Genomic DNA, 26407 nt, shown 5'->3' with positions numbered 1-26407 from the left:
CCAGGGGGCCAGGGCAGGAACTCAGGTTTCCTCAGCCCACAAATCCCCTGGAAAAAACATGACAGGCAGGCCGCATGTGCTTTTGTCAGGTTCCTCCCTGAACCCACCCATGAGCTGCAGGCCTACCTCTCCCTCAGCAGAATCCTGGAGCTACCATTCTCAGCAAGCCTGAGCTCCCTTAGTGCCTGGGAGCTGTCAGTCTGGGAGGCTTCATGGAGGAAGCGAGACTTGGGTCAGGGAGGGCAGTGACTAAGGGGCACTTTGGAAGGGCCCAGTAAGGGCTGGGGTGCGGAGACCCAGGGGTGGTGGCATCAGAGCTGAGCCTCAAAGGACCCAGAAGCCTGGGATGTTTAAAACCTGCCCATTATGGGGTCTAGCGAACAGCTTCTTTTATTCTTGTTTGAAAGTATTTTTCTGCTTACAAAAGTAACTTATACTTGATCTAAAAAAAAAAAAAAAAAGAAAAGAAATCACACAATGTTAAAAGCAAAGATTCACCCATTTGGCCCCAGAAGCCCTGCGGACAGAGAAGAGCCTATGGCTGGGTTGGTGGCCTGGGAGGATGCGCCTGTTGTCAAGGTTACAGGGACTTGCCGGGCGCCACAGAGCAGGGGGCAAAGTTCTCCCCAGCAGCCTCAGGAGGCCCCGCTGCTAATCCACTGTCTTCTGTTCTGTCTGTGCCTGCGAGAGAAGAGGGTGGATCAGGCTGGTGTCAATGGAGATGGGAGGGCTCAGCTTGGCTGTTGGGGGTCTACCAGGCCTCACTCTCACCCCAACCAGTGGATGCTCCAGGGCCAGAAGCCTCTGCCTGACTGAGAAGTGACTGCCACTCAGGGACGCTGCTCCCAAGGCCACCAGGCCAGGGCCACAAAAGCTGCTAAAGTCATTTCCAGGAAACTTGAGGCCAAGTTTGTGCTGAGCACTGGGAAGCCGCAGCCATCGCCTCTGCTGGACCTGGGGTGGGGATGGAAGGATGGAGGAGTTGGCAGATGGGGGTGGTCGATGCCTGAGGGTGATTGCCTGCGGGACCCCTGGCGCCTGATGGAGCCCTGCTCTGCCTTTCATCTGGCGAAGATGGCTGTGCTCCAATTCTCACAAAGGCACCACGGCCCCAGGCCTAGATGGATCCCAGCAGTGAGCAGGAGTCTCAAAGGGGCTGGGAGGACCTTGAGATGGTCTCATTCCACAGAGCTCAGGTGTAACAGATCCTGAGCCAGACTCCAACCCCCTCTGCCCTCTGCAGGGACCTCCTGGTGGCCTCAGAGTGGCGACTTCGCTCCTCTGAGCCCTGCCTCCCACAGGCCATGGGGACTGCATCCTCTGCCCAAGGTTGGCAGGAGAAGCCAGGGGGACAGGCAGAGGCTCTCAGAGCAGGACTGGATGGTGGGGGCTTCGCAGTAAGAGCCAGGCACTCCCACCGGCTCTGGGAGGACGGGGTCCCTCTGAGTCCCAGAGCACTGCTCACACCAGGCCTGAGACTCCAGCAGAGGGATGGAGGCCGAGGGGTCCATTAGGTTCCTTGAAAGCTCCAAGCCTGTGGCTGCGGACACCACCATCTCAGGCATTCTGGGGTCTCAGCCCCAGGGAGGCTGTGGGGCTGTGACCCTCTGTGACCTCAGGCCACTCACCCCTCAATTTCCATCAGTGAGGCAGGGTCCCTGCACGGCCAGCAAACTGAAGGAACCTTTTCTCACAATGGGCTGCCAGGCTGAGTGCCCTGGCTGACCCCAGGGGACCACCTGTTCTGGCTGACCCCAGGGGACCACCTGTTCAGAGGTCACAAGCCAAGGCCACCTGCTACGCCTCTTCTTCTCAGGGCACGGCAGAGCCCACTCCCAGTTGGGAAGAAACCCCAACTCACCTTCTTCCCACCCACTGGGCAGCCCCCTGCCCCATCTCCCTGGAACTTCCAGTTCAAAAGGTGTACCCAGCCCATTTCCTCTGCTGCCTAGGGCCCTGCCCCCACCGCTGCCTGCCCTGGTAGAGCCCAGAGGCAGGACCTGCTGTGGGGCCAGGAGGGGACCTGTCCTCCTGCAGGGGACAGCAGGGCATGGCCTGGGCCACCTCAGGGAGAGCTGGGTGCAGGGAAAGGGGCAGCCCTGCTCTCATCCCATCTCTGCTACCATGGCCCACCTGACTATGTTCCCCAAGTCTAGCTGAAAGGTCTAGTACACAGCAGGGGCAGAGCCAAGGGCCCTGGGGAGTGGGAGCAGGGACTGAAGATGCTCAGTGCCTCCATCCATCCCATCACTCCCACAGCAAAGCACAGGGAATGAACCTGCCCCATCACCTCCAGCCAGCCCGCAGCAGCTAGGGCCACACCCCCAGCCCCACTCTCCCATGGGACCTGTGAGCCCTGAGCTGTATCTCCCCGGAGGCTTGGTGGGGGGTGATTGTGCAGAGGAGGTAGGGAGAGCAGGGGCAGTCCCGGAGAGCCAGGCTGAGGTCACTGCCTTAGTCTGCTGGGAGTCTCATCCTGCGTGACTCGAGTCTCCAGAGCCCAGCCTGCACACAGCTGCTGTTCAGTGGATGTTACTAAGTGACTGAACGGTGAGTGAGACCAAAGAAGCTTTCTAGAACATATGGAAAGGTGACCCATCAAGCCCCCGGTCTTAGAGACCCTCATCGAACAGCTGCGAGCCAAGACCTTGAAGCTGACGGCAGCTGCCTGTGGGCCCCGCCGCACCCTCAGACCCTCCCTTGTGAAGGAGCCAGTAGGCAGCGCATTCCAGAGTGGGGAACAGACACAGAGAGGCAAGGCCGCTCAGAGGCAGGGTTGGAGGTCGGCGGATGCCCAGGCCTGTGCCCTAACCCCTGTGCCACTGCTCTCCACACGTGGTCAAAGTCAGGGAACAAGGACCCGCATGCCAGGGAGAAGCGCCTGATGGAGCCAGCGCGGCTGTGGGGGCCACCCTGGGAGGTGCCGAGCTGTCCTGGGGGGCCGCTGTGGAGCCTCACCTGGGTCCTGCCTGCTCCGTTTCTGCTCAGGCTCCTGAGGGGCTGCCTCAATGGCCCGCTGGGCCTCGGGGTGGGTCTGGAGGAGGGCCTTGGCAAGGGTGGCGGGGCCGGGCACCCCCAGGGACATGACACAGTGCACACCCTTGCGCTTGGCCCCCGCCACCTTGGTGCTGTCTTTGGAGGCTGTGAGCAGGACCAGTTTGGAGAACTTTCTGGGCTTCCTGGGGGCTGCCGGGATGACTTCTGTGCCTGGCTTGGGGGATGGCTCCTGGCTGGCCTTCACACTCTCACCCTCCTGCTCGCTGGGCTCGGGCAGGGGCATCCCGGGACCCAGGGCCTGTCCCTCAGGCCACACTCAGCCCCCAGCAGGTGGATTTCTCCTACTCCCAGGCAAGGAACCTGGAGTCCAGCGGTTCCGTCCTAAGGAAGGAAGCAAAATCCCGTCAGTGGTGGAAGCCCTTGGGAGGCTCTAGACGTGGATCTGGGAGGGAGGTGGGGCAGATGGGGCTGCCTCACTGCTCGCTGGGGCCAAGACTGACAGGGGGCCTGATGGAACTAGGCTTCTGCTCTGCCAGTTCCTCTCCTGGCAGCCTTGGGAACGTCAGCCCCATCCAACCCCACTTTCCCCATCTGGAAAAGGTGCACAGTAAACACCCTCCACAAGGGGCCATCAGAATGACTAATGGACTAAGAACTCAGCCACTACCAATGGGCCTCCCACATGCTGAGCACGGACGAAGGGTTTCCACCCTGAGGACTGTTTCCAGTCCCACCTCCCACCCCTGTTATGACAGCAGGCTGTTCTTATGGACCCAGTCACAGTTGAGGACACTGAGACATGCCAGGGTGATCCACACGGCCACAGAGTGGCAGAGATGGAGTGGACACAGAGCCCATGACCACACAGCATCTGGTGTACTTTGTCCATGTTAACAGACATCAGTGTCCCTGGGCACCAAGCATCAGAGCTAAACACTCTGGGGACATTAGCTCAGTTTGTGTTGTCACAGGGAGCATGGGCCAGGCACCTGCCAGCACTTTGCAGACCATAGCACTGCAGCTGGCCCTGGCAGGTGGGACAACCAGATCCAGCCACATCCCCGTCTGAAGGCCCACATGCTCCTCTGCTCGTTGGTTCTTTTTGTTTGTTTGTTTTGGAGACGGAGTCTCGCTCTGTCGCCCAGGCTGGAGTGCAGTGGCACGATCTTGGCTCACTGCAAGCTCCGCCTCCCGGGTTCATGCCATTCTCCTGCCTCAACCTCTCCGAGTAGCTGGGACTACAGGCGCCCGCCACCACGCCCGGCTAATTTTTTGTATTTTTAGTAGAGACGGGGTTTCACCGTGGTCTCGATCTCCTGACCTCGTGATCTGCCCGCCTCAGCCTCCCAAAGTGCTGGGATTACAAGCGTGAGCCACCGCGCCTGGCCACACCCACTGGTTCTCACACCAACCTTGCGTCTGAGCTAGTGCTGGCGCTGCCCTGGCTGGGTGGGGACAGCGATGTGGAGATGTTGTGGATCCCACCGTCACTGAGGACTCCTTGGCTTCTGGCCTGGAGAAGCAGAAAGGATGGGTTGTAACCCTGTAGGGGCAAGTGCCGGGCCACCCCACACTGGTGCTGCAGCACCTCAGGACTGGGGCTCCAGGCCAGTGTGGGGTGGCCTTTCTGTCTTTTGGGGGTCAACTGGGTGGTGGGCAGACCATGGGGTCTTTCCCAGCTTACAGTTTTAGCCTAGACACAAGACTGCAGCTTGGGCAGCCACCTAGCCCCCTGTCCAGGACCCAGGCAGGACAAGGCCCAGAGACACCCACTTTCCCCTCGGGCCGATTCCCCAACCTGGGCTTGAGGTTCTCATGGTTTCCTTGGACCCCTCCCAATGCGTCTGTCCTGAGGGGTCCATGCCCAGCACCCTGGCGCTTTTTCTAAGACCCTATTGTCCATGAGAGGGGCCTAAGGATGCAGGACTGGAGTACAGGGTTGGGGGCCTTGTCCTGAGAGCTTCCCTCTGTAGTCCTCTGACCACTAAACAAAAGCAGATGTGAAGCCCCCACCCCAGGGGCACCTTCTCGAGGGGGTGGGCACTTGAAGAAATGCGCCAGGCGGCGAGTCACATGACTGCAGAGTACCGCAGGGATCGGGGTCGCGTTATCCGTCCGCCTCCGGACAAGCCAACCCCTGTTCCTCCCGTGCGGCCCTTCCGGCTCTGCTCATCTGCCTCACAGGGCGATGTGGGGATGCCGGGGACCTGGGGGCCACTCTGGGGCCGTAAAGAGTTACGGGAGGCCCCAACCACATAGCGCCCTGCTTCACACGCTGATTGGCTACGGCGCACGTCCCTCTGGCGGCCGATCTCCCCACGCCTCCCACACTCCGCAGCATGAGTGGGCAGTCCGGGCAGGAATAAATGCCAGGTTCCCTGACCCCACGTCCGAGTCCACCCCGGGTCCTCTAGCGCCTCCCGCCGTGTCGGTTCTGCCACTGCAGCGCTCCCAGACTCCAAAAAAGATGAAGCCTCTTGCATACCCAGCGTGCAAATTCCTGCAAGATACAGCAGTTGGTCCCCACAAGGCTGGCAGGGACCCAGACCTAGCAGCCTCCTCCAGGCCAGCAGCCATTCTCCGAGACCTCCACACTCACTCTGACCCCCAGACTGCACGCCTCCTTATATTAGGTTAGTGCAAAAGTAATTGCGGTTTTGCCATTGCTTTCAATGACAAAACCGCAATTAATTTTCACCAACCTAATATTTGGCACCTGAGGCACCTCCTTGCCATTCCATAGTCCCAGCCCTGCAGCCAGGCCAACTCTGAGCTGTACAAAAGGGCCCCAAAGGGGCCGGGCGCGGTGGCTCACGCTTGTAATCCCAGCACTTTGGGAGGCCGAGGCGGGCGGATCACAAGGTCAGGAGATCGAGACCATCCTGGCTAACATGTTGAAACCCCGTCTCCACTAAAAAATACAAAAAATTAGCCCGGCGTGGTGGCGGGCGCCCGTAATCCCAGCTACTCGGGAGGCTGAGGCAGGAGAATGGCGTGAACCTGGGAGGCGGAGCTTGCAGTGAGCCGAGATCGTGCCACTGCACTCCAGCCTGGGCGACAGAGCGAGAATCCGTTTCAAAAAAAAAAAAAAAAAAAAAGAAGAAAAGAAAAGGGCCCCAAAGTGACGTCAGCCCCATCTCAAATTCAAACCCCATATTAAACGAACAAGACAGACCTAAACTATTGACTAATTCTCCAAAGCGAAAAGTCAGGAAAATAAAAAAATCTCGTTAAGCTGTAACAAGAAGGGAATCGTGAAATACGTAAATTGGGCTCTTTCATATTGTGAAATATATATTTGGTGTTTGACCCTCTCTCCCAGTACATAATTCCTAAAATTCCTGGAATCTCCAAAATGATGTCTTTTTGTATGCTTAGGCACTGACTGATGGCTGGCAGCCCCTGGGCTGCTTCAATGGGGCTGGTCACCAGAAAGACCAAGGCAGGGTTAGAGGGTTGGGACTTTCAGCCCCTCCTCCAAACTCCAGGAAAGGGAGAGGGCCTGAAGGTTAAGTTGATCACCAATGGCCTATAGTTCAATCAATCATGCCTATGTAATGAAGCCTCCATAAAAACCCAAAAGGAGAGGGTTCCGAGAGCTTCCAGGAACACATGGAGTCCTTGGACGGGTGTGTGGGAGTTGGGAGTGGGGTGGGAATGGAAAGTGAGCCCCTCCCATACGTGCTGCTGCATTTATATGTGTGTGTGTGTGTATATATATAAATAAAATATATGTATATATGTGACATATATAATATATATTATATACGATATATGACACATATACAACATATATGGTATATATATGACATATATAATATATATTATATGACATATATACATTATATATTATATATATTTAAAATATATATAAATTTTAGTTATTTTTTGAGACAGAATCTGGTTCTGTCGCCAGGCTGGAGTGCAGTGGCGTGATCTCGGATCACTGCAACCTCCACCTCCTGGGTTCAAGTGATCCTCCTGCCTCAGCCTCCCACATAGCTGGGACTACAGGCACACGCCACCATGCTCTCCTAATTTTTATATTTTTAGTAGATACGCGGTTTCACCATGTTGGCCAGGATGGTCTCGATCTGTTGACCTCGTGATCCACCCGCCTCAGCCTCCCAAAGTGCTGGGATTACAGGCATGAGCCACTGTGCCCGACTGCATTTATATTTTCATCTGTCTCCTTTATAATAAAATGGTAAATGTAGATAAATTGTGTTTTTTTTTTGAGATGGAGTCTCGCTCTGTCTCCCAGGCTGGAGTGCAGTGGTGTGATCTTGGCTCACTGCAACTTCTGCCTCCTGGGTTGAAGATATTCTCCTGTCTCAGACTCACAAGTAGCTGGGATTACTGGTGTGCACCACCATGCCCGGCTAATTTTTTGTATTTTTAGTGGAGATGGGGTTTCACCATGTTGGCCAAGCTGGTCTCGAACTCCTGACCTCAGGTGATCCACCCGCCTCAGCCTCCCAAAGTGCTGGGATTACAGGCATGAGCTACCACACCTGGCCTGTAAATAGTTTGTTTTTTTGAGATGAAGTCTCGCTCTTCCCACCCAGGCTGGAGTGCAATGTCGCAATCTCAGCTCACTGCAACCTCCACCTCCCAGGTTCAAGCAATTCTCCTGCCTCAGCCTCCCGAGTAGCTGGGATTACAAGCGCCGGCCACTACTCCCAGCTAATCTTTGTATTTTCAGTTGAGACAGGGTTTCACCATGTTGGCAAGGCTGGTCTCGAACTCCCAACCTCAAGTGATCCACCCGCCTCAGCCTCCCAAAGTGCTGGGATTACAGGCATGAGCCACCGTGCCTGGCATTGTTTCCTTGAGTTCTTTGGGCCACTCTAGGAAATGATTTAACCCAAGGAAGGGGTCATAGCAACCTGAGATTGCAGCTGGCTGGTCAGAAGCATGAGCAAGGCGGGAGGATCACTTAAGCCCAGGAGTTCGAGACCAGCCTGGGCAACATAGCGAGACCTCATCACTATAAAAAATAAACAAATTAAATAAAATAAAAGAGAGAGGCCAGGCGCGGTGGCTCACGCCTATAATCCCAGCACTTTGGGAGGCAAGGCGGGTGGATCACGAGGTCAGGAGATCAAGACCATCCTGGCTAACACGGTGAAACCCCATCTCTACTAAAAATACAAAAAAATTAGACGGGCGTGGTGGCGGGCGCCTGTAGTCCCGGCTACTCCGGAGGCTGAGGCAAGAGAATGGCGTGAACCCGGGAGGCGGAGCTTGCAGTGAGCCGATATCGCGCCACCGCACTCCAGCCTGGGCGATAGGGCGAGACTCCATCTCAAAAAAAAATAAATAAAATAAAAATAAAATAGAGAGAGAGAGAACCCTGCCACTCTGGTCCTCCTGCCTGCGCCTGGCACAGAAGTGATCTGCCCAGAGCCACATCCTTGGTCCTTGACCTGGGACCTGAGTCAGGAAAAAAAGTCCTATTATGTCAACCATGACCTCTATTACTGCTACCCAACAACCTCCCTTCCCAGTGTCCCCATCACTCCACTCTGTCCCTGGGGAGATGGAGGCCTGGTCCAGAGCCAATGGCCTTGGGCAGCAGATGCTTGAAGTCAGAAATGCCAGTTACAAAGAAAACTGATCCTCAGAGCTGAGGTCCTGCCTTGGAAGCCAGTGGTCGGGATTATAACCCAGATAACAAAATAAATATCCATGAGTCCAAGCTGATACAAATAACTGAATACATAAATGTTGGAGAAGGGACAAATCTTCCTTAAGAGGAATTCTAAACAGTATGTGCGGACACTTCCCCCTCCAGGAAATGGAGCTTAAGTCCCCTCCCTTGATTGTTGGCTGGGCTTAGTGCATTTCCAAAGATGACAATCTGGGCTGGGCGAGGTGGCTGACGTTTGTAATTCCAGAACTCTGGGGGGTTGAGGTGGGTGGATTACTTTAGGTCAAGAGGTCAAGATCAGCCTGGCTAACATGGCTAAACTCCGTCTCCAGTAAAAATATAAAAATTAGTCAGGCGTGGCTGGGCGCAGTGGCTCATGCCTGTAATCCCAGCACTTTGGGAGGCTGAGGCGGGTGGATCACAAGGTCAGGAGTTCGAGACAACCTGGCCAACACGGTGAAACCTCGTCTCTACTAAAAATACAAAAAAAAAAAAAAATTGGCCGGGCGTGGTGGCAGGCGCCTGTAATCCCAGCTACTCGGGAGGCTGAGGCAGGAGAATCGCTTGAAATCAGAAGGTGGAGATTGCGGTGAGCCAAGATCGCGCCACTGCACTCCAGCCTGGGCAACAAGAGCAGAACGTTGTCTCAAAAAAAAAAAAAAATTAGTCAGGCATGGTGCTGTGCACCTAGTAATCCCAGCTACTCAGGAGGCAGACACAGAAGAACTGCTTTAACCTGGGAGGCAGAGGTTGCAGTGAGCCAAGATCTCACCACTGCACTCCAGCCTGGGCAACAGAGCGAGACTCCAACTCAAAAAAACCAAAAAACAACAAAAACAAAAAAAAAAAAACAAAAACAAAAAAACACACACACGCACACAAAAATGAATGTGGGATCAGATCCCAGATTACACCTCCGAACACAAAAAGTGCATTAGTGAAAACACTGATGAAATCCAAATAAAGTCTATAGGTTAGTTTTCTTTTTTCTTTTTTTGAGAGACAGGGTCTTGGTATATTGCTTGGAGTGCAGTGATACAACCATGGCTCACTGTAACCTCACACTCATGGGCTCAAAGTGATCCTCCCACCTCAGCTTCCCAAGTAGCTGAGACTACAGACACGCACCACTACGCCTGGCTAATTATCGTATTTTTAATAGAGACACGGTTTCACCATGTCGTCCAGACTGGTCTCGAACTCCAGACCTCAAGAGATTTGCTTGCCTTGGCCTCCCAAAGTTCTTGATTACAGGTGTGAGCCACTGTGCCCAGTTCTGTAGTCTTGTACCAACAATAATTTATTATATGAGATGTTAACATGAGGGGAAGCTGGGGGTGGGGAAGATCTATAGGGACTCTGTACTGCCTCTCGGACTTTTCTATAAAGCTAAAATAATTCCAAAATAAAAAGTTTTTTTTAAAGGTAAGTAGCTAGCTGCATTAATATGACCCAAAACATTAACTATTTTATCACAGAAAACCCAGCATAAGCAACTTTGCTCTTTTTCAGGTTGTTTTTTTTTTTTAATATAGTCTTTCCTAGTGCTTTTTCTTTAAAAGTAAAGGTTGGCCGGGCGCAGTGGCTCACGCCTCTAATCCCAGCACTTTGGGAGGCTGAGGCGGGTGGATCACAGGGTCAGGAGATTGAGACCATCCTGGCTAACACGGTGAAATGCCATCTCTACTAAAAATACAAAAAATTAGCCGGGCATGGTGGCAGGCGCCTGTAGTCCCAGCTACTCGGGAGGCTGAGGCAGGAGAATGGCGTGAACCTGGGAGGCAGAGCTTGCAGTGAGCCAAGATCGGGCCACTGTATTCCAAGCTGTGTGACAGAGCGAGACTCCGTCTCAAAAAAAAAAAAAAAAAAAGTAAAGGTTAGAAGAACAGATTGAAAAATGACTGTATACACATGTATACACACACACAAACAACAACAACAACAACAAAAAAACACCAAATTTTGAGCAAAATGGCCCTGACAAAGGTTGCCTGGTAGGAACTGTGTTTTATGAATCATTTTTATGCGTTCTGGAAAAACACAAGTGATACTTTTCTGAATATCAAATTTCAGTTAATCATAGTGTTTAATACCTCATTTTCAAAAATGACAAATATTTCTTTTCTACAATTAGTCCCATGCACACCTCCTAAGTAGTGCAATAATAAATTTGCTTCCATGACTTTTTAACTTAAAAAGTTACTTCTGCTCTTAAAAACCATGATATTTGCTCTAGCTCATGAAGCTGCAGAGAAATAATTCCACAGAATCTCAGAGAAGTGAAGGTTATGAAGATCTCCTCATACTCTCCATTTGGAGGACAAGGTAGCCAAGAAGAAGCCAGTCCTGGGACTTCCTCCAGGATAAGAGGCTTAGCTGGTCAAGCTGGTCAGCCCACAGGACTGGAGCACCTACTGGGCTTCAGGTTCCCCAAGAAGATCATGACATTGTTGAAAGAAATTAAAGAAGCCCTAAACAAATGGAAAGACATCCCATGTTCATGGATTGGAAGACTTGATATTGTTAAGATGACAACACTTCTGACATTGATCTATAGATTCTTAATTCCAGCTGGCTTTTTTTTTTTTTTTTTTTGGAGAAACTGACAAGCTGGTCCTAAAATTCATATGAAAATTCAAGGAACCCAGAATAGCAAAAACAATCTTGAAAAAAAAAAAACTTGCAGGACTGACACATCTCTATCTCAAAATATATTATCACAAAGCTACAGTAATCAATACAATGTGGTACTGGCATAAAGACCGACACAGGCCGGGCACAGTGGCTCATGCCTGTAATCCCAGCACTTTGGGAGGCCAAGGTGGGTGGATTGCCTGAACTCAGGAGTTTGAGACCAGCATAAGCAACATGGTGAAACCCCGTCTCTACTAAAAATACAAAAAATTAGCCGAGTGTGGCGGCATGCAACTATAGTCACAGCTACTCGGAAGGCTGAGGCAGGAGAATTGCTAGAACCCGGGAGGCGGAGGTTGCAGTGAGCCGAGATCACGCCACTACACTCCAGCCTGGGCAACAGAGCGAGACTCCACCTCTTAAAAAACAAACAAACAAACAAACAAAACACAGACACAGAGATCAACAGAATAGAACTGAGAGTCCAGAAATACACTCTTATATATATGGTGAACTGATTTTCAGCAAAGGTGGCAAGACAGTTCTGTGGAGGGAAAATAGTCTTAACGACAAATGTTGGGCCAGGCGTGGTGGCTCATGCTTGTAATTCCAGTACTTTGGGAGGGTGATGTAGGAGGATCGCTTGAACCCAGGAGTTCCAGACCAGCCTAGGCAACATAGTGAGATCTCATCTCTAAAAAAAATATTATTAACCAGGGTGGTGGGGCACATATGTAGTTCCAGCAACTTGGGAGGCTGAGGTGGGAGCGTTGCTTGAGCCTGGGAGGTCAAGGCTGCAGTAAGCTGTGATTGTGCTGCTGTACCTCAGCCTGGGTGACAGAGCAAGACTCTGTCTCAAAAAATAATAATAATAATAATAAAAACAAACATTAAATGCTAGGACCACTGAATATCCAATACAAAAGAATGAAGTTGTATGCTTTCCTCACAGCATATACAAAAATTAACTCTAAATAAATTATATGGCTAGGCATGGTGGCTCATGCCTATAAACCTAGCACTTTGGGAGGCTGAGGTGGGCAGATCTCTTCAGCTCGGGAGTTCAGGTCTAGCCTGGGCAACATGGCGAGACCTCATCTCTACTAAAAATACAAAAAAAAAAAAAAAAAAAGAAAGCCGGGCATGGTGGTGTGCACCCGTGGTCCCAGCTACTTGGGAAGCTGAGGTGGAAGGATTGCTTAAGCCAGTGGGGCGGAGGTTGCAGTGAGCCGAGATTGCACCACTGCACTCCAGCTTGGGTAACAGAGTGAGATCCTGTCTCAAAACAACAAAAAAACAAAAAATTATAGTTTATTACAAGAGCTACAGTAATAAAACTTTTTTTTAAAAGAAAAACTAAATTCTCATAACCTTAGATTAGGCAAAGCTTTCTTCAATATAATGAAAGGCACAAACAACCAATGAAGAAATAAACTGGACTTCAACTAAGTTTAAGAGTTTTGTGTTTTAGCCATAAAACTTTTGAAAGTTAAGAGATAACCCATAGAATGGGAAAAAATGTTTGCAAATCATATATCTGATAAGGGACTTGTATCTGGAATTTATAAAGAACTATTACAACTCAGTAATAAACAAGCAAACAAACAAACAATTTAAAAATGGGCGGCTGGGCATGGTGGCTCACACCTGTAATCCCAGCACTTTGGGAGGCCGAGGCAGGTGGATCATCTGAGGTCGGGAGTTCGAGACCAGCCTGACCAACATGGAGAAACCCTGTCTCTACTAAAAATACAAAATTAGCCAAGCTTGGTGGCACATGCCTGTAATCCCAGCTACTCAGGAGGCTGAGACAGGAGAATTGCTTGAACCCAGGAGGCGGAGGTTGCGGTAAGCTGAGATTGCACCAGTGCACTCCAGCCGGGACAACAAGAGCAAAATCCGCCTCAAAAAAAAAAAAAAAAAAAAAAAGGACAAAGGGGCAGGGCGTGGTGGCTCATGCCTGTAATCCCAGCACTTAGGGAGGCTGAGGCAGGAGGATCACCTGAGGTCAGGAGTTCGAGATCAGCCTAGACAACATAGTGAAACCCTGTCTCTACTAAAAATACAAAAATTATTTTCTTTTTTGGATTGGTGGCATGGTGGCACATGCCTGTAATCCCAGCTACTCAGGAGGCTGCGCAGCATGAGAATTGCTTGAACCCGGGAGGTGGAGATTTCAGTGAGCCGAGGTGGCGCCACTGCACTACACTGCACTGCAGCCTGGGCATCAAAGTGGTACTCCGTCTAAAAAAAAAAAATAATAACAATAATAATAATAATGGGCAAAGGCTCCAAACAGGCTTTTCTCTAAAGAAGATATACAAATGGCTAATATATGAGAAGATGCTCAACATCATTAGTCACCAGGGAAATGCAAATCAAAACCACAATGAGATATCACTTCACACCACCAGGATGGACATAATAAAACAAACAAAAAACAGATAATAGCAAGTGCTGGTGAGGATGAGGAGAAACTGGAACCCTCATACACTGCTGAGGGGAATGTAAAATGGTGCAGCCATTTTTGGAAACCAGCCTGGCAGTTCCTCAAAAGGTTAAATGTAGAGTTACCCTATGACCCAGCAATTCCACTACTAGCTATATGCCTGGAAGAAAGGAAAACACATGTCCACATAAAAATGTGTACATGAATGTTACAGTTGCATTATTCATGAAAGCCAAAACGTTTCGATGGATATTCAAAACAGCCCAAATATCCATCAATGGATGAATGAATAAGTACAATGTGGTGCATGTATAAAATGGAATATTATTTGGCAGTAAAAAAAATCTATGCTACAACATGAATGAACCTTGAAGAAATTATGCTCGGTAAAAGAAGCCAGACCCAAAAGACCACATATTATATGATTCCATTTACATGAAATTACTTAGAGTCTAGAGAATCTACAGAGTAGGAAAATCTATGGAGACAGAACGTAGATTTGTGGTTATCTCGGGATTGGGGTGGGGAAGGGGAGAATGAGAATTGACTACTAGTGGGTATGTGCTTTATGGGGTGATGAAAATGTCCTAAAAGGAATTTTCATGAGGGTTGCACAACTTTGTGATCACACTAAAGCCACTGAACTGTATATTTTTTTTTTTGTTTTGTTTTGTTTTTTTGAGACGGAGTCTCGCTCTGTCGCCCAGGCTGGAGTGCAGTGGCGTGATCTCACTGCAAGCTCCGCCTCCCGGGTTCACGCCATTCTCCTGCCTCAGCCTCCGGAGTAGCTGGGACTACAGGCGCCTGCCACCACGCCTGGCTAATTTTTTGTATTTTTAGTAGAGACGGGGTTTCACCGTGTTAGCCAGGATGGTCTCGATCTCCTGACCTCGTGATCCGCCCTCCTTGGCCTCCCAAAGTGCTGGGATAACAGGCGTGAGCCACCGCGCCCGGCCGAAATGTACACTTTAAATGGGTAAATTGCACGGTATGTGAATTATCTCAATAAAGTTGTTAAATATTCAGAAAAAGGTAAATTGAGTCTATGAACATATGAACAGCAGTTCCCCAATGTCACTATCCCTAAGAATCACCCGGAGTTTTTTTTTTGTTTTTGTTTTTTAGACGGAGTATCGCTCTTGTCGGCCAGGCTGGAGTGCAGTGGCGCGACCTTGGGTCACTGCAACCTCTGCCTCCCGGGTTCAAGCCTTTCTCCTGTCTCAGCCTCCCAAGTAGCTGGGATTACAAGCGTGCACCACCACACCCGGCTAATTTTGTATTTTTAGTTGAGACGGGGTTTCTCCATGTTGGTCAGGCTGGTCTCGAACTCCCGACCTCAGGTGATCCACCCTCCTTGGCCTCCCAAAGTGCTGGGATTACAGGCGTGAGCCACCGCGCCGGCCCCGACTAATTTTTGTATTTTTTTTTTTTTTTTTTTAGTAGAGACGGGGTTTCACCATGTTAGTCAGAATGGTCTCTATCTCCTGACCTTGTGATCTGCCTGCCTCGGCCTCCCAAAGTGCTAGGATTACAGGCGTGAACCACCGCGCCCGGCCTGTGTTGCTTTAAGCCACCTTATTTGTTAGGACAGCAACAGGAAACTAATACAAGGTTCAATCCCTCACTGACGATGTTCTGGACGACAGGACCCCTGCCTGGTGCCTCATGGTGGACCCACAGAATCATCTTCATACGCACGGGGGAGAAACATCACTAATGTCCACCAGCACCGGCATCCTCAGCCGCGAGGACAAATCCCTTACCCTCCCAGCAGGTTTCATCTGCGTAACGGAAATAGTGGTGAATTTATCAGGGGCTGTTAATAGATGACAGGCAAGGGTGAAGTCATCGCAAAAGTTCCCAGACGATATGGACAGCTGCTCCCCAATAATTACTGCTCCACGCAGTCCACAGCGGGGCTGTTATTGACCCCGACAGGATGACGGGACACTAAGGTGTGCAGTACACGTCCTCACAGGGAGATTTAAAAAACCGGCAGTGACCCCTGCCCCAAGAAGGCCAAGAACTGCTACTCTAAGGTGTGCAGCGCGGAGCTTCCCCACCATGGCAATTTCAGCCATGGCAGCTCCTTCCCCTAATCACCAGGGCTCAGAATCTTTATTTCACTCCTTTACCCAATGCAATTGGCATCAAACGCGGGCTGGGCTGCGCCCAAATGGTCCCAGCTCCCCGGCTCTCTCCTCTCTCAAGAATACCCACACCCTGAGGCCCCGAGTGTCTCCCCCGCCCCAGTATCTCACGCCTCCAACTCGCTGCCGTCCCTGCAGGGACCTCCCGAGCTGCAACCGTGGGACGAGGCCGGCGGGGGTTGGGGGGTGCCGGGAAGGCAGCGCTGGGCGCGGCGGACACGGCCAGGGACCGGCGGGCGAGTGCGGACCTCCTTCGTGTGGGGGTGTTGAGGCTTTGGACAAGGGACTGGAGGGGGTGGGGAAGGAGGGGCGAGAGGCAAAGAGGGAATCGCGGGAGACCCCACAGGAGGCGGCCTGAGCACCAGGACGCGGACCCCTCCTCAGCACCCGCAGCCCTCGGGACCCCCGAGAGAGCCGGGCCGGGGACTCGTCCATGCCGAGGACGCAGGACCCTCCCCGCCCGCCAGGGCCCGTCCTCACCGACGACAGCGGTGCCCTCCCTCTCCGGCGACAGCGCCGCGGCGGGTCCCTCAGCCTCCGCGCCAAGGGCCCCAGCCTCAGCTCGCGCTGTTACCTCAAGCCGGGGTCACAGCGCGAGCATGCGCAGCAAGGCCGCGGGTGCCCTGTCTTCTGGCTGGGGCCGCTCCTCCGCGTCTTGCCCGTGCGGCGTAGAGCTGGCGTCCGGCCAATCGGAGGGCGGAGGCGGGGCCAAAATTCAGTAAGGGGGCGGGGACACCCGGGATTGAGTGTCGCCGTCAGGGGCGGAGCCTCGGGGGACCTGCGGCCTGGATCCGGGTTGCGGGCGAGGTTATCCCAGCACCAGTGGGTTGGGCTTCACTGCGACCCCCGGGCTTCCTCACGGATTTGACTCCGGCTCTCTGCGGGGAAAACTGGAGCATTTGTTTAAAGGTTTTGCTCTCCCCCGTCGCGATACCGAGCGTGCGGAGGGAAGGTGTTTAGGCTCATGGAAGCCACTGCCTTGCTTTAAGCTCTGCATCCTTGACGACGCAGCAGCCTCATCCGCGCCATTGGTCCAGCCCTCGTCTATTAGTTTAGCCCCTGCCCATTGGTCCAGCCCTCGCCCAATAGTCCCGCCCTCTCTCTGTAGTTCAGCCCCTGTCCATTCATCCTTTCTCGTTATTGGTCCAGCCCTGGCCCATTGGGCCCACCCGTGCCCACGGGCCCCGCCCTCTCCGTGCCCAACCACGTTCACCCGGCCCAAGGGGTGCCCGGGACACTCGCCATCCTCCAGCCACCCACTGCAGTGGGACTGGGCTGGGTCCGGGCACAGGGAGCTGTGGGGCCCTGGGCGCTGCTTTCCTGGGACACTTGGCTGCAGCGTCCAGAGCGGCCCCCGCACAGCCCCCTAGGCTCACCGCGGCTCTCCCAGCCCCGCGGGGTCGCCCCCACTACCCCGGCCACCTTGGTCCCCCTAAGCCTGGCTCCGCGCCCCGCCCCCCTCGCTCTAAAGCGGCCGCTGAATGTGCCACCGCCCCAGGGCTCCAGGGTCCAGGTCGAGATCCTCTGGGGCCTCCCGCACCTTCCGCCTTCTCACGTCCGAATGCCAGCGTCGCTGCACGCCCTTCCTCTGCCCTGCCCCTCCCGGCCCTGGCTCTGCAGGTCTCTGAATCCCACCGTGGACTCCGCTACCAAGGCTCCCGCTGCCCCCATCCCACTATCCTATCTCCCCGGGCATTGTCTGGTGTCATTCAAGGCCTTTGTGCTTTTTTTTTTTTTTTAGAAACGAGAATTGCGCTCTGTCGCTCAGGCTGGAGTGCAGTGGCGTGATCTCGGCTCGCTGCAACCTCTGCCTCCCGGGTTCAAGCAATTCTCATGCCTCAGCCTACTGAGTAGCCGGGATTACGGGCGCCCGCCACCACGCCCGGCTAATTTTTGTACTTTTAGTAGAGACGGGTTTCACCATGTTGGCCAGGCTGGTATTGAACTTCTGACCTCAGGTGATCCACCCGCCTCGGCTTCCTAAAGTGCTGGGATTACAAGAGTGAGCCACCGTGCCCAGCTACCTTTGTGCATTTATTTGCTGTTATCTATTAATCATTCACAGACTACTGGTTGTTTTTAACTTGATGATGTTATAAATATCTTTGTATATGAATCTCTGATGTCAAAGATTTTTTTTTTTTTTTTTTGAGATGGAGTCTCGCTCTGTCGCCCAGGCTGGAGTGCAGTGGCGTGATCTCTGCTTATTGCAACCTCCGCCTCCCGGGTTCAAGCGATTTTCCCGCCTCAGCCTCCCAAGTAGCTGAGATTACAGGCACCGGTAATCATGCTTAATTTTTATATTTTTGTAGAGATGGGATTTCACCATGTTGGCCAGGCTGGTATCAAACCGGAGTTACCTCCGGTGATCTGCCCACCTCGGCCTCCAAAAGTGCTGGGATTAGACATGTGAGCCACCTTGCCTGTCGAGATATTAAAGATTTTTTTTTTTTGAGACAGAGTCTCACTCTGTTGGCAAGACCGGAGTGCAGTAGCACGATCTCAGCTCACTGCAACCTCCGCCTCCTGGGTTCAAGTGGTTCTCCTGCCTCAGCCTCCCAAGTAGCTGAGATTACAGGCGCCTGCCACCGCACCCAGCTAATTTTTTTGTATTTTTAGTAGAGACGGAGTTTCACCATCTTGGCCAGGCTGGTCTTGAACTCCTGACCTCGTGATCCACCCGCCTCAGCCTCCCAAAGTGCTGGGATTACAGGTGTGAGCCACCGCACCCAGCCAAAGATTTCTTGAAAGTCTTAAAAGAGGTCAAAGGAGGCAAATATTTTTAAAAGCTTTTTAAACATGTAGCCAAATTGTCCCCAAGGAAGTGCACAAGCTTGGGGTTAGATGCTTGGGTTCAAGTCCCTGCTGTGTCAATTGCCAGCTGTGTGAATGAGCAATTACATCCCCTCTCTGTGCCTCAGTGTCTTCACCTGATAAATGGGGGTGATAACGCACCCACCTCCTACAGCCATTGTGAGAATTCACAGAGTATTGTCATGTGGACTGATAAGAGTCTTGGTTGTTTTCTGTTTCTTTTTGTTTTTGTTTGAAACAGAGTTTCACTCTTGTTGCCCAGGCTGGGGTGCAGTGGTGTGATCTCGGCTGACTGCAACCTCCACCTCCTGGGTTCAAGTGATTCTCCTGCCTCAGCCTCCCAAGTAGCTGGGATTACAGGTGCCCGCCACTAAGCCCGGCTAATTTTTTTTGTGTTTTTAGCAGAGACGGGGTTTCACTATGTTGTCCAGGCTGGTCTTGAACACCTGACCTTGTGATCCACCCATCTCGGCCTCCCAAAGTGTTGGGATTACAGGCATGAGCCACCGTGCCTGGTGAGTCTTGGTTTTAAAATTTATATTCCTTAGTCCAGCAATTCTCAAACTTTCTGGTCTCAGAACCACTTATGACACAGGATTTTTCAGTGCCCCTTAGTCAGCCAGAGACCTCCATGGCCAGCAGCACCCCTGTTCAGGCCTCCCTTGGCCTGGGCTCGGTGCAGGAGACACCCCACCCATTCCGCCATTTGTGTCATGTTACAGCTCTTTCAATCCCGCTGCCCCCCTTGGGTCCTCAGCTTCAGGGCTGGCCCAGCCCACTGCTATTTCCTCTTGCCTGGGCAGGTTCTGGGGGTGGGTGGAGGGCTACAGTGTTACAGCCTTTTTCCTACCAGTGGTAGACCCTCCAGAGTTCTTGTCCCACATCCAAGAAGAATGAGGTTATGCTGACAGCCAGTGGGTGAGCAGGGTGAAGAGTTTTATTGAGCTAACAAACAGCTCTCAGCGAAGAGGGGACCCTCTCAAAGTCGGGTAGTTCCCCCCGCCATGGTGTGTAGACCCCAAGTGTGGCTGAGTCTGAGGTTTTTATTGGCTCAGAATGGGGGAGTGCATGCTGATTGGTTTCTGAGTATGCAAAAAAGGCTTAAAAGGCACTCAAAATTGGGCATGACAGTGTAAACAACCAGTTAGGGAAGGGTAGGTGTATGTAAAATAGGTGAAATGTGGGGATCAGTCAGAGGAAAGTGGGCCACACGGGAAGAGAGGTTCTCAGTATGTTCCATGAATTTATCAGAGACTTGTAGCTTGGTTTTCAGGCTTTAAAATGTCTTTGGTTTGAAGGCCAGTTTCACCAGGGATGGGATCTGTCTCTGTCTGCCTGGGGATTTGTCTGCCTCCTGCCGCCATCATTTTCACTGTTAGTTATTGAGACGCTCAGAGAGATTTTAGTTATGTGGGTTACATCTATCAATATTTACTATATAGAAATTTAGGCTGGGTGCAGTGGCTCATGCCTGTAATCCCACCACTTTGAGAGGCCAAGGCAGGTGGATCACCTGAGGTCAGGAGTTTGAGACCAGCCTGGCCAACATGGTGAAACCCAGTCTCTACTAAAAATACAAAAATTAGCAGGGTGTGGTCGTCGTGGGCGACTGTAATCCCAGCTACGTGGGAGGCTTGAACCCGGGAGGCAGAGGTTGCAGTGAGACAAAACAATGCCACTGCACTCCAGCCTGGGCAACAGAGTGAGGAAAAAAAACAAGACGGCTGGGTGCAGTGGCTCACGCCTGTAATCCCAGCAGTTTGTGAGGCTGAAGCAGGCAGATCATGAGGTCAGGAGTTCGAGACTAGCCTGGCCAACATGGTGAAACCCCATCTCTACTAGAAATACAAAAAAATTAGCCATGTGTTTTGGCATGTGCCTGTAATCCCAGCTACTCCAGAGGCTGAGGCAGAATTGCTTAAACCAGAGCCGCGGGTGGCGGTGGCAGGTTACAGTAAGCCAAGATCATGCTACTGCACTTCAGCCTGGGCGACAGAGCAAGACTCCGTCTTGGAAAAAAGGAACTTAAACTGATAAATTTAAAAACAGATTTATTAAAAACAGTGGTAATTAACCCACTGTATATCTTTAAACCAAAGGAATCAGTGAGTGGCAGTGTTTACACTTTTAAAAATCACTTTAGTGGCTGGGCGCGGTGGCTCACGCCTGTAATCCAAACATTTTAGGAGGCCGAGGCAGATGGAGCACCTGAGGTCAGGAGTTTGAGACCAGACTGGCCACCATGGTGAAACCCTGTCTCTATCAAAAATACAAAAATTAGCTGGACGTGGTGGCATGCACCTGTAATCCCAGCTACCCGGAAAGCTGAGGCATGAGAATTGCTTGAACCCAGGAGGCGGAGGTTGCGGTGAGCCGAGATCGCGCCACTGCACTCCAGCCTAGGTGACAGAGCAAGACGCCGTCTCAAATAAATAAATAAATAAATAATAAAAATCACTGGCCCGGCGCGGTGGCTCACACCTGTAATCCCAGCACTTTGGGAGGCTGAGGTGAGCAGATCACGAGGTCAGGAGTTCAAGACCAGCCTGGCCAACACAGTGAAACCCCACCTCTACTAAAAATACAAAAATTAGCTGGGCTTAATGGCGCGAGTCTGTAATCCCAGCTACTCACGTGGCTGAGGCAGGAGAATCGCTTGAACGCGGCGGGCAGAGGTTGCAGTGAGCTGAGATCATGCCACTGCACTCCAGCCTGGGGGACAGGACAAGACCCTGTCTCAAAAAATAGATCACTTTAGTGTCTGGCTTAAGAGACTACAGCTGCATTGTCACAACTGCCTCTGCATTCACTCTTCTGTGATGTGTTGTTTGCATTGAAGCACACAAAGAAAATCCAGCCCACACAGATAAATATTTGGAAAAGGGAGAAATATTTTAACAGCCTTTTCAGATAATTGTGGATAGTCTTCCTTGATACTACATCAAAACTCATGTGGTGGTTCTTAAAGGTTAGTTGCAGTGTAGAATCTGAAGTGGCATCAGTACAATTTTTGTATTCAATTACATCAGAATCCCTTGGTCAGCCAGGCGACGTGGCTTATGCGTGTAATCCCAGTACTTTGGGAGGTTGAGGAGGGTGGATTTCTTGAGTCCAGGAGTTTGAGACCAGCCTGGACAACATGGCGAAAACCCATCTCTACAAAATATTTACAAATTAGTTGGGTGTGGTCGGATGCCGTGTCTCACACCTGTAATCCCAGCACTTGGGAGGCTGAGGTGGGCGGATCACAAGGTCAGGAGTTCGAGACCAGCCTGACCAACATGGTGAAACCCCGTTTCTACTAAAAATACAAAAACTAGCCAGGCGTGGTGGCACGTGCCTGTAATCCCAGCTACTCAGGAGGCTGAGGCAGGAGAATCACTTCAACCCGGACGGCAGAGTTTGCAGTGAGCCAAGATCATGCCATTGCATTCCAGCCTGGGCCACAGAATGACACTCCGTCTCAAAAAAAAAAAAAAAATATTAGTCAGCTGTGGTGGTGCACGCCTATAGTCTCAACTACTTAGGAGGCTGAGGTGGGAGGTTCCTTCAAGCGCAGGAGCTTGAGGCAGCAGTGAGCCGAGATTGAGCCCTGCACTCCAGCCTGGGTGACAAAGTGAGACCCTGTCTCAAAATAATAATAATAATCCACTGGTCTTTTAGCATTTTGGAGGGATCTTGTACCCATGTGTGGTCTCATAACACCATGCATTGGCTTTTTAGAAAATATTGGTTCATTGAATAATGCACATCTTATGAAATGTTGACATATTTTATTATATAATATAAATGAATGGTGTCAAATACAAGTTTTCTAACTTTTTTTTTTTTTTTTTGAGACAGAATCTCACTCTGTTGCCCAGGCTGGAATGCAATGGTGTGATCTCGGCTCACTGCAACCTCCGCTTCCCGGGTTCAAGCAATTCTCCTGCCTCAGCCTCTTGAGTAGCTGGGATTACAGGTGTCCACCACCATGCCTGGCTAATTTTTTGTATTTTTAATAGAGATGTGGTTTTGCCATGTTGGCCGGGCTGGTCTTGAACTCCTGACCTCAGGTGATCTACCCGCCTCGGCCTCCCAAAGTGCTGGGATTACAGGCGTGAGCCACCGTGTCTGGCCCCAACATTTTAATTTTTGCTTGAAAGTTAGAATTTTTTTTTTTGAGATGGAGTCTTGCTCTGTTGCCCAGGCTGGAGAGCAGCGGCACGATCTCGGCTCACTGCAACCTCTGCTTCCCGCGTTCAAGCAATTCTCCTGTCTCAGCCTCCCGAGCAGGTGGGACTATAGGGGCACACCACTACGCTTGGCTAATTTTTGTATTTTTAGTAGAGACGGGGTTTCACCATATTGGTCAAGCTGGTCTTGAACTCTTGACCTCAGGTGACCCACCCACCTTGGCCTCCCAAAGTGCTGGGATTACAGGCGTGAGCCACTGTGCCCAGCCAAAAGTTAGAATTTTAAATTTTATCCTTGGCAACAAATACTGTCAGTTATTTTCCTTCAAGTGACAGACTCACTTCTCACTTTTCTCTTTTTTTTTTTTTTTTTTCCAGACAGAGTTTCACTCCATCACTCAGGCTGGAGTGCAGTGGCGTGATCTCAGCTCACTGCAACCTTCGCCTCCTGGGTTCAAGTGATTCTTGTGCCTTAGCCTTCTGTGTAGCTGGAATTACAAGCATGTGCCACCACACCCAGCTAATTTTTGTATTTTTAGTAGAGCTGGGGTTTCGACATATTGGCTAGGCTGGTCTCGAACTCCTAGACTCAAGTGATCTACCCACCTCATCTTCTCAAAGTGCTGGGATTACATGCATGAGCCACTGCACCTGGCCCTCACTTTTCTCATTTTTGAGAAGATGGCTGCCAAATACCCACATCTGAATAACCACAGTTTGTCAGTGGTTCTATCAATTAAAAGTGTTCCACAAAAAAATAGCTAATAGCACAATTCAAATAGTTGCACATATTGTTCTGCTAGAGACAACTGTATGCCCAGAGGTACTGTATGTGTATTTCCTCTTTTCCATTTCAACTAACAAAATACTAAAAAGACGTGTACTCAATGGCTAAGAATTAATAAAATGAATGATTGTGTTGCTTCATCAAGGACTTTTTTCTTTCTCTCCCTTCCTTCCTCCCTCCCTCCCTCCCTCCCTTCCTTCCTTTCTTTTTTTGATTTTCGCTCTTGTTGCCCAGGCTGGAGTGCAATGGTGAAATCTCGGCTCACTGCAACCTCCACCTCCCAGGTTCAAGCGATTCTCCTGCGTTAGCCTCCTGAGTAGCTGGGGCTACAGGTGCCCACCACCGCGCCTGGCTAAATTTTTTTTTTTAAATTAAGACAGAGTCTCGCTCTGTCGCCCTTTTAATTGAGACGGAGTCTCTCTCTGTCGCCCAGGCTGGAGTGCAATGATGCGATCTTGGCTCACTGCAACCTCTGCCTCCTGGATTCAAGCGATTGTCCTGCCTCAGCCACCCGAGTGGCTGGGATTACAGGCACCCGCCACCATGCCCAGCTAATTTTTGTATTTTTAGTAGAGACTGGGTTTCACCATGTTGGGCAGGCTGGTCTCGAACTCCTGACCTCACGTGATCCACACGCCTTGGCCTCCCAAAGTGTTGGGATTACAGGCGTGAGCCACCGCGCCTGGCCTAATTTTTGTAGTTTTGGTAGACGCGGGGTTTCACCATGTTGGCCAGGCTGGTCTTGAACTCCTGACCTCCAGTTATCCGCTGGCCTCCACGACACTCCGTCTCAAAAAAAAAAAAAAGTTTCAATACATGAATATTGGGGGACACAGATCATCATAAATGCGTTTGTTTATACTGTTGATAATGGTCTTTTGTGTTAAAAAAAAAAAAAAAAAAAAAAAAAACATTATCAGCAAGTTCTCCCCATCCTGAGAAGGGACTGAGGCTGCGGCGCAGAACCGCCCTCCTGGCGGCCGGCACGGTCTAGGTCCTGGTGAGGCAGTCGGGCGGCCGCTGAGTCCGCGCGCGCCCTCTCCTGGCCGCCAAGAGCATCGGCCAGAATGTCCCCAGGTTCCGGCTCTGACCCGGATGAGGCCCTGCCCAGCGCTCTGTGCAGCTCAAGGAAAAGTGCAGAGATTGCATGCACGAGAGAGGAGCCTTTTCTTCGTCTTTACACCCCTCTCCCTTTTTTCTTTTCTTTTCTTTTTTTTTTTTTTTCTTTTTTTTTTCCAGATGGAGTCCCTGTCGCCCAGGCTGGAATGCAGTGGCGTGATCTGGGCTCACTGCAACCTCTACCTCCTGGGTTCAAGCGATTCTCCTGCCTCAGCCTCATGAGTAGCCTCCCGATTACTGGTGTGTACCATCCCGTCCCGCTGATTTTTTTGGATTTTTAGCAGAGATGGGATTTCAGCATGTTGGCCAGGCTGTTTTCGAACTCCTGACCTCAAAGAGTCCGCCCTCTTCGGCCTCCCAAAGTGCTGGGATTAGAGGCGTGAGACACCACGCCCTGCCCCTCCCCCATTTCTTAATCCAAACACCTCAGCTTTGCCGGGGTGCAGGCTGCTGAAGGCACCCACGCGGTGGGCAGGGGTCCTGTTGATCCCTTCAACTTGGTGGTTTCATGGCAATTTGACTGCTTTGGACTGTCCACAAGTGACAGGGATTTAGCCACACGGATTTTTGAATTATTTATGATAGTGAAACAAATATGAAGTGATACAGATGTCCATTTAATCATTTAAATGATTAACAATTAAATGAAACGTGGTCTATCCCTGCAATGGAAATACAATACATGCTACGACGGGCATGAACCTTGAAACATGATGCCAAGTGAGAGAAGCCACACACGAGAGGCTACATGAGTTCATTTATGTGAAATGTCTGGAACGGGCAAATTCAGAGACAGAAGGTGGACTACTGGTTGGTTGCCAGGGGCTTGGGGGAGTGACTGCTACTAGGGCACTAGTTTTCTTTTTGGGGGTGATGAAACATTTTTGGAATTAATGATTATCAATGCACAACTTTGTGAACAGACCAAAAGCCACGGAATTGTACACTTTAAAATGGTCAATTTTCTGGCCGGGCTCAGTGGCCCATGCCTGTAATCCCAGCACTTTGAAAGGCTTGAGGTAGGAGGATCACTTGAGATCAGGAGTTTGAGACTATCCTGGGCAACATAGGGAGACCTCATCTCTACTAAAAACAGAGTGGGTGTGGTGGTGTGCGCCTGTGGTCCCAGCTACTCAGGAGACTGAGGCAGGAGGATCGCTTGAGCCAGAGAGGTCGAGGCTGCAGTGAGCTGAGATCGCACCATTGCACTCCAGCCTGGGTAACAGAATGAGACCCTATCTCAAAATAAAATAAAATGGTCAATTTTATGGCATGTGAATTAAATCTCAATTTAAAAAGAAGAAAGGAATGGTCAAGAAAGTGGCAGATCTATTAAAATTGCCCCTCAAAAATGGTTTGAACATCAGTAATTTCACTTTTTCCACATAATTTATCTTAAATACCAGAAAGTAAAACTAAAATGTCTTTTTTTTTTTTTTTTTAGATGGAGTCTCACTCTGTCGCCTAGACTGGAGTGCAGTGGTGTGACCTCAGCTCACTGTAACCTCCACCTCCTGGGGTTCAAGTGATTCTCCTGCCTCAGCCTCTGGAGTAGCTGGGATTACGGTCATGTGCCACCACGCCTGGCTAATTTTTGTATTTTTAGTAGAGACAGGGTTTCACCATGAC

The 26407-nt window shown here is 51.0% G+C and overlaps 1 protein-coding gene across 5 annotated transcripts, besides 5 other annotated features; it reads right to left on the bottom strand.

Annotated features, from left to right (window-relative positions):
- Positions 1-347: 347 nt before the first annotated feature.
- FLYWCH2 (FLYWCH family member 2) lies at positions 348-16535 on the bottom strand. 5 transcript variants are annotated; one of them, NM_001142500.1, is made up of 4 exons: positions 16368-16535; positions 4410-4510; positions 2959-3378; positions 348-681 (listed from the first exon to the last, which is right to left on the bottom strand). In NM_001142500.1, the coding sequence occupies exons 3-4, from the start codon at positions 3278-3280 to the stop codon at positions 581-583; spliced, it is 423 nt and encodes a 140-aa protein (NP_001135972.1). In that variant the 5' UTR covers positions 3281-3378; positions 4410-4510; positions 16368-16535; the 3' UTR covers positions 348-580. The 5 variants fall into 5 exon arrangements, with proteins under 5 accessions (NP_001135972.1, NP_001135971.1, XP_005255135.1 ...); NM_001142499.1 differs by having other exon boundaries at positions 16458-16535; NM_138439.3 differs by having other exon boundaries at positions 365-681; positions 16364-16515.
- Positions 16080-16139: a silencer, noted in NCBI's record as "silent region_7078". NCBI's record gives its function as "represses an Ori minimal core promoter by ATAC-STARR-seq in GM12878 lymphoblastoid cells {active_cell/tissue: GM12878}" and the evidence as "EXISTENCE:reporter gene assay evidence [ECO:0000049][PMID:35858748]".
- Positions 16230-16399: a silencer, noted in NCBI's record as "silent region_7077". NCBI's record gives its function as "represses an Ori minimal core promoter by ATAC-STARR-seq in GM12878 lymphoblastoid cells {active_cell/tissue: GM12878}" and the evidence as "EXISTENCE:reporter gene assay evidence [ECO:0000049][PMID:35858748]".
- Positions 16900-17369: a silencer, noted in NCBI's record as "silent region_7076". NCBI's record gives its function as "represses an Ori minimal core promoter by ATAC-STARR-seq in GM12878 lymphoblastoid cells {active_cell/tissue: GM12878}" and the evidence as "EXISTENCE:reporter gene assay evidence [ECO:0000049][PMID:35858748]".
- Positions 16900-17598: a biological region, named in NCBI's record as "H3K4me1 hESC enhancer GRCh37_chr16:2932133-2932633".
- Positions 17098-17598: an enhancer, noted in NCBI's record as "H3K4me1 hESC enhancer chr16:2932133-2932633 (GRCh37/hg19 assembly coordinates)". NCBI's record gives its function as "activates a minimal SCP1, AML or CMV promoter by ChIP-STARR-seq in primed H9 embryonic stem cells {active_cell/tissue: H9 hESC(primed)}" and the evidence as "EXISTENCE:reporter gene assay evidence [ECO:0000049][PMID:30033119]".

Source organism: Homo sapiens, chromosome 16, assembly GCF_000001405.40.
Source record: "Homo sapiens chromosome 16, GRCh38.p14 Primary Assembly".
NCBI lineage: Eukaryota > Metazoa > Chordata > Mammalia > Primates > Hominidae > Homo > Homo sapiens.
This window is presented reverse-complemented; position numbering and strand designations above follow the sequence as displayed.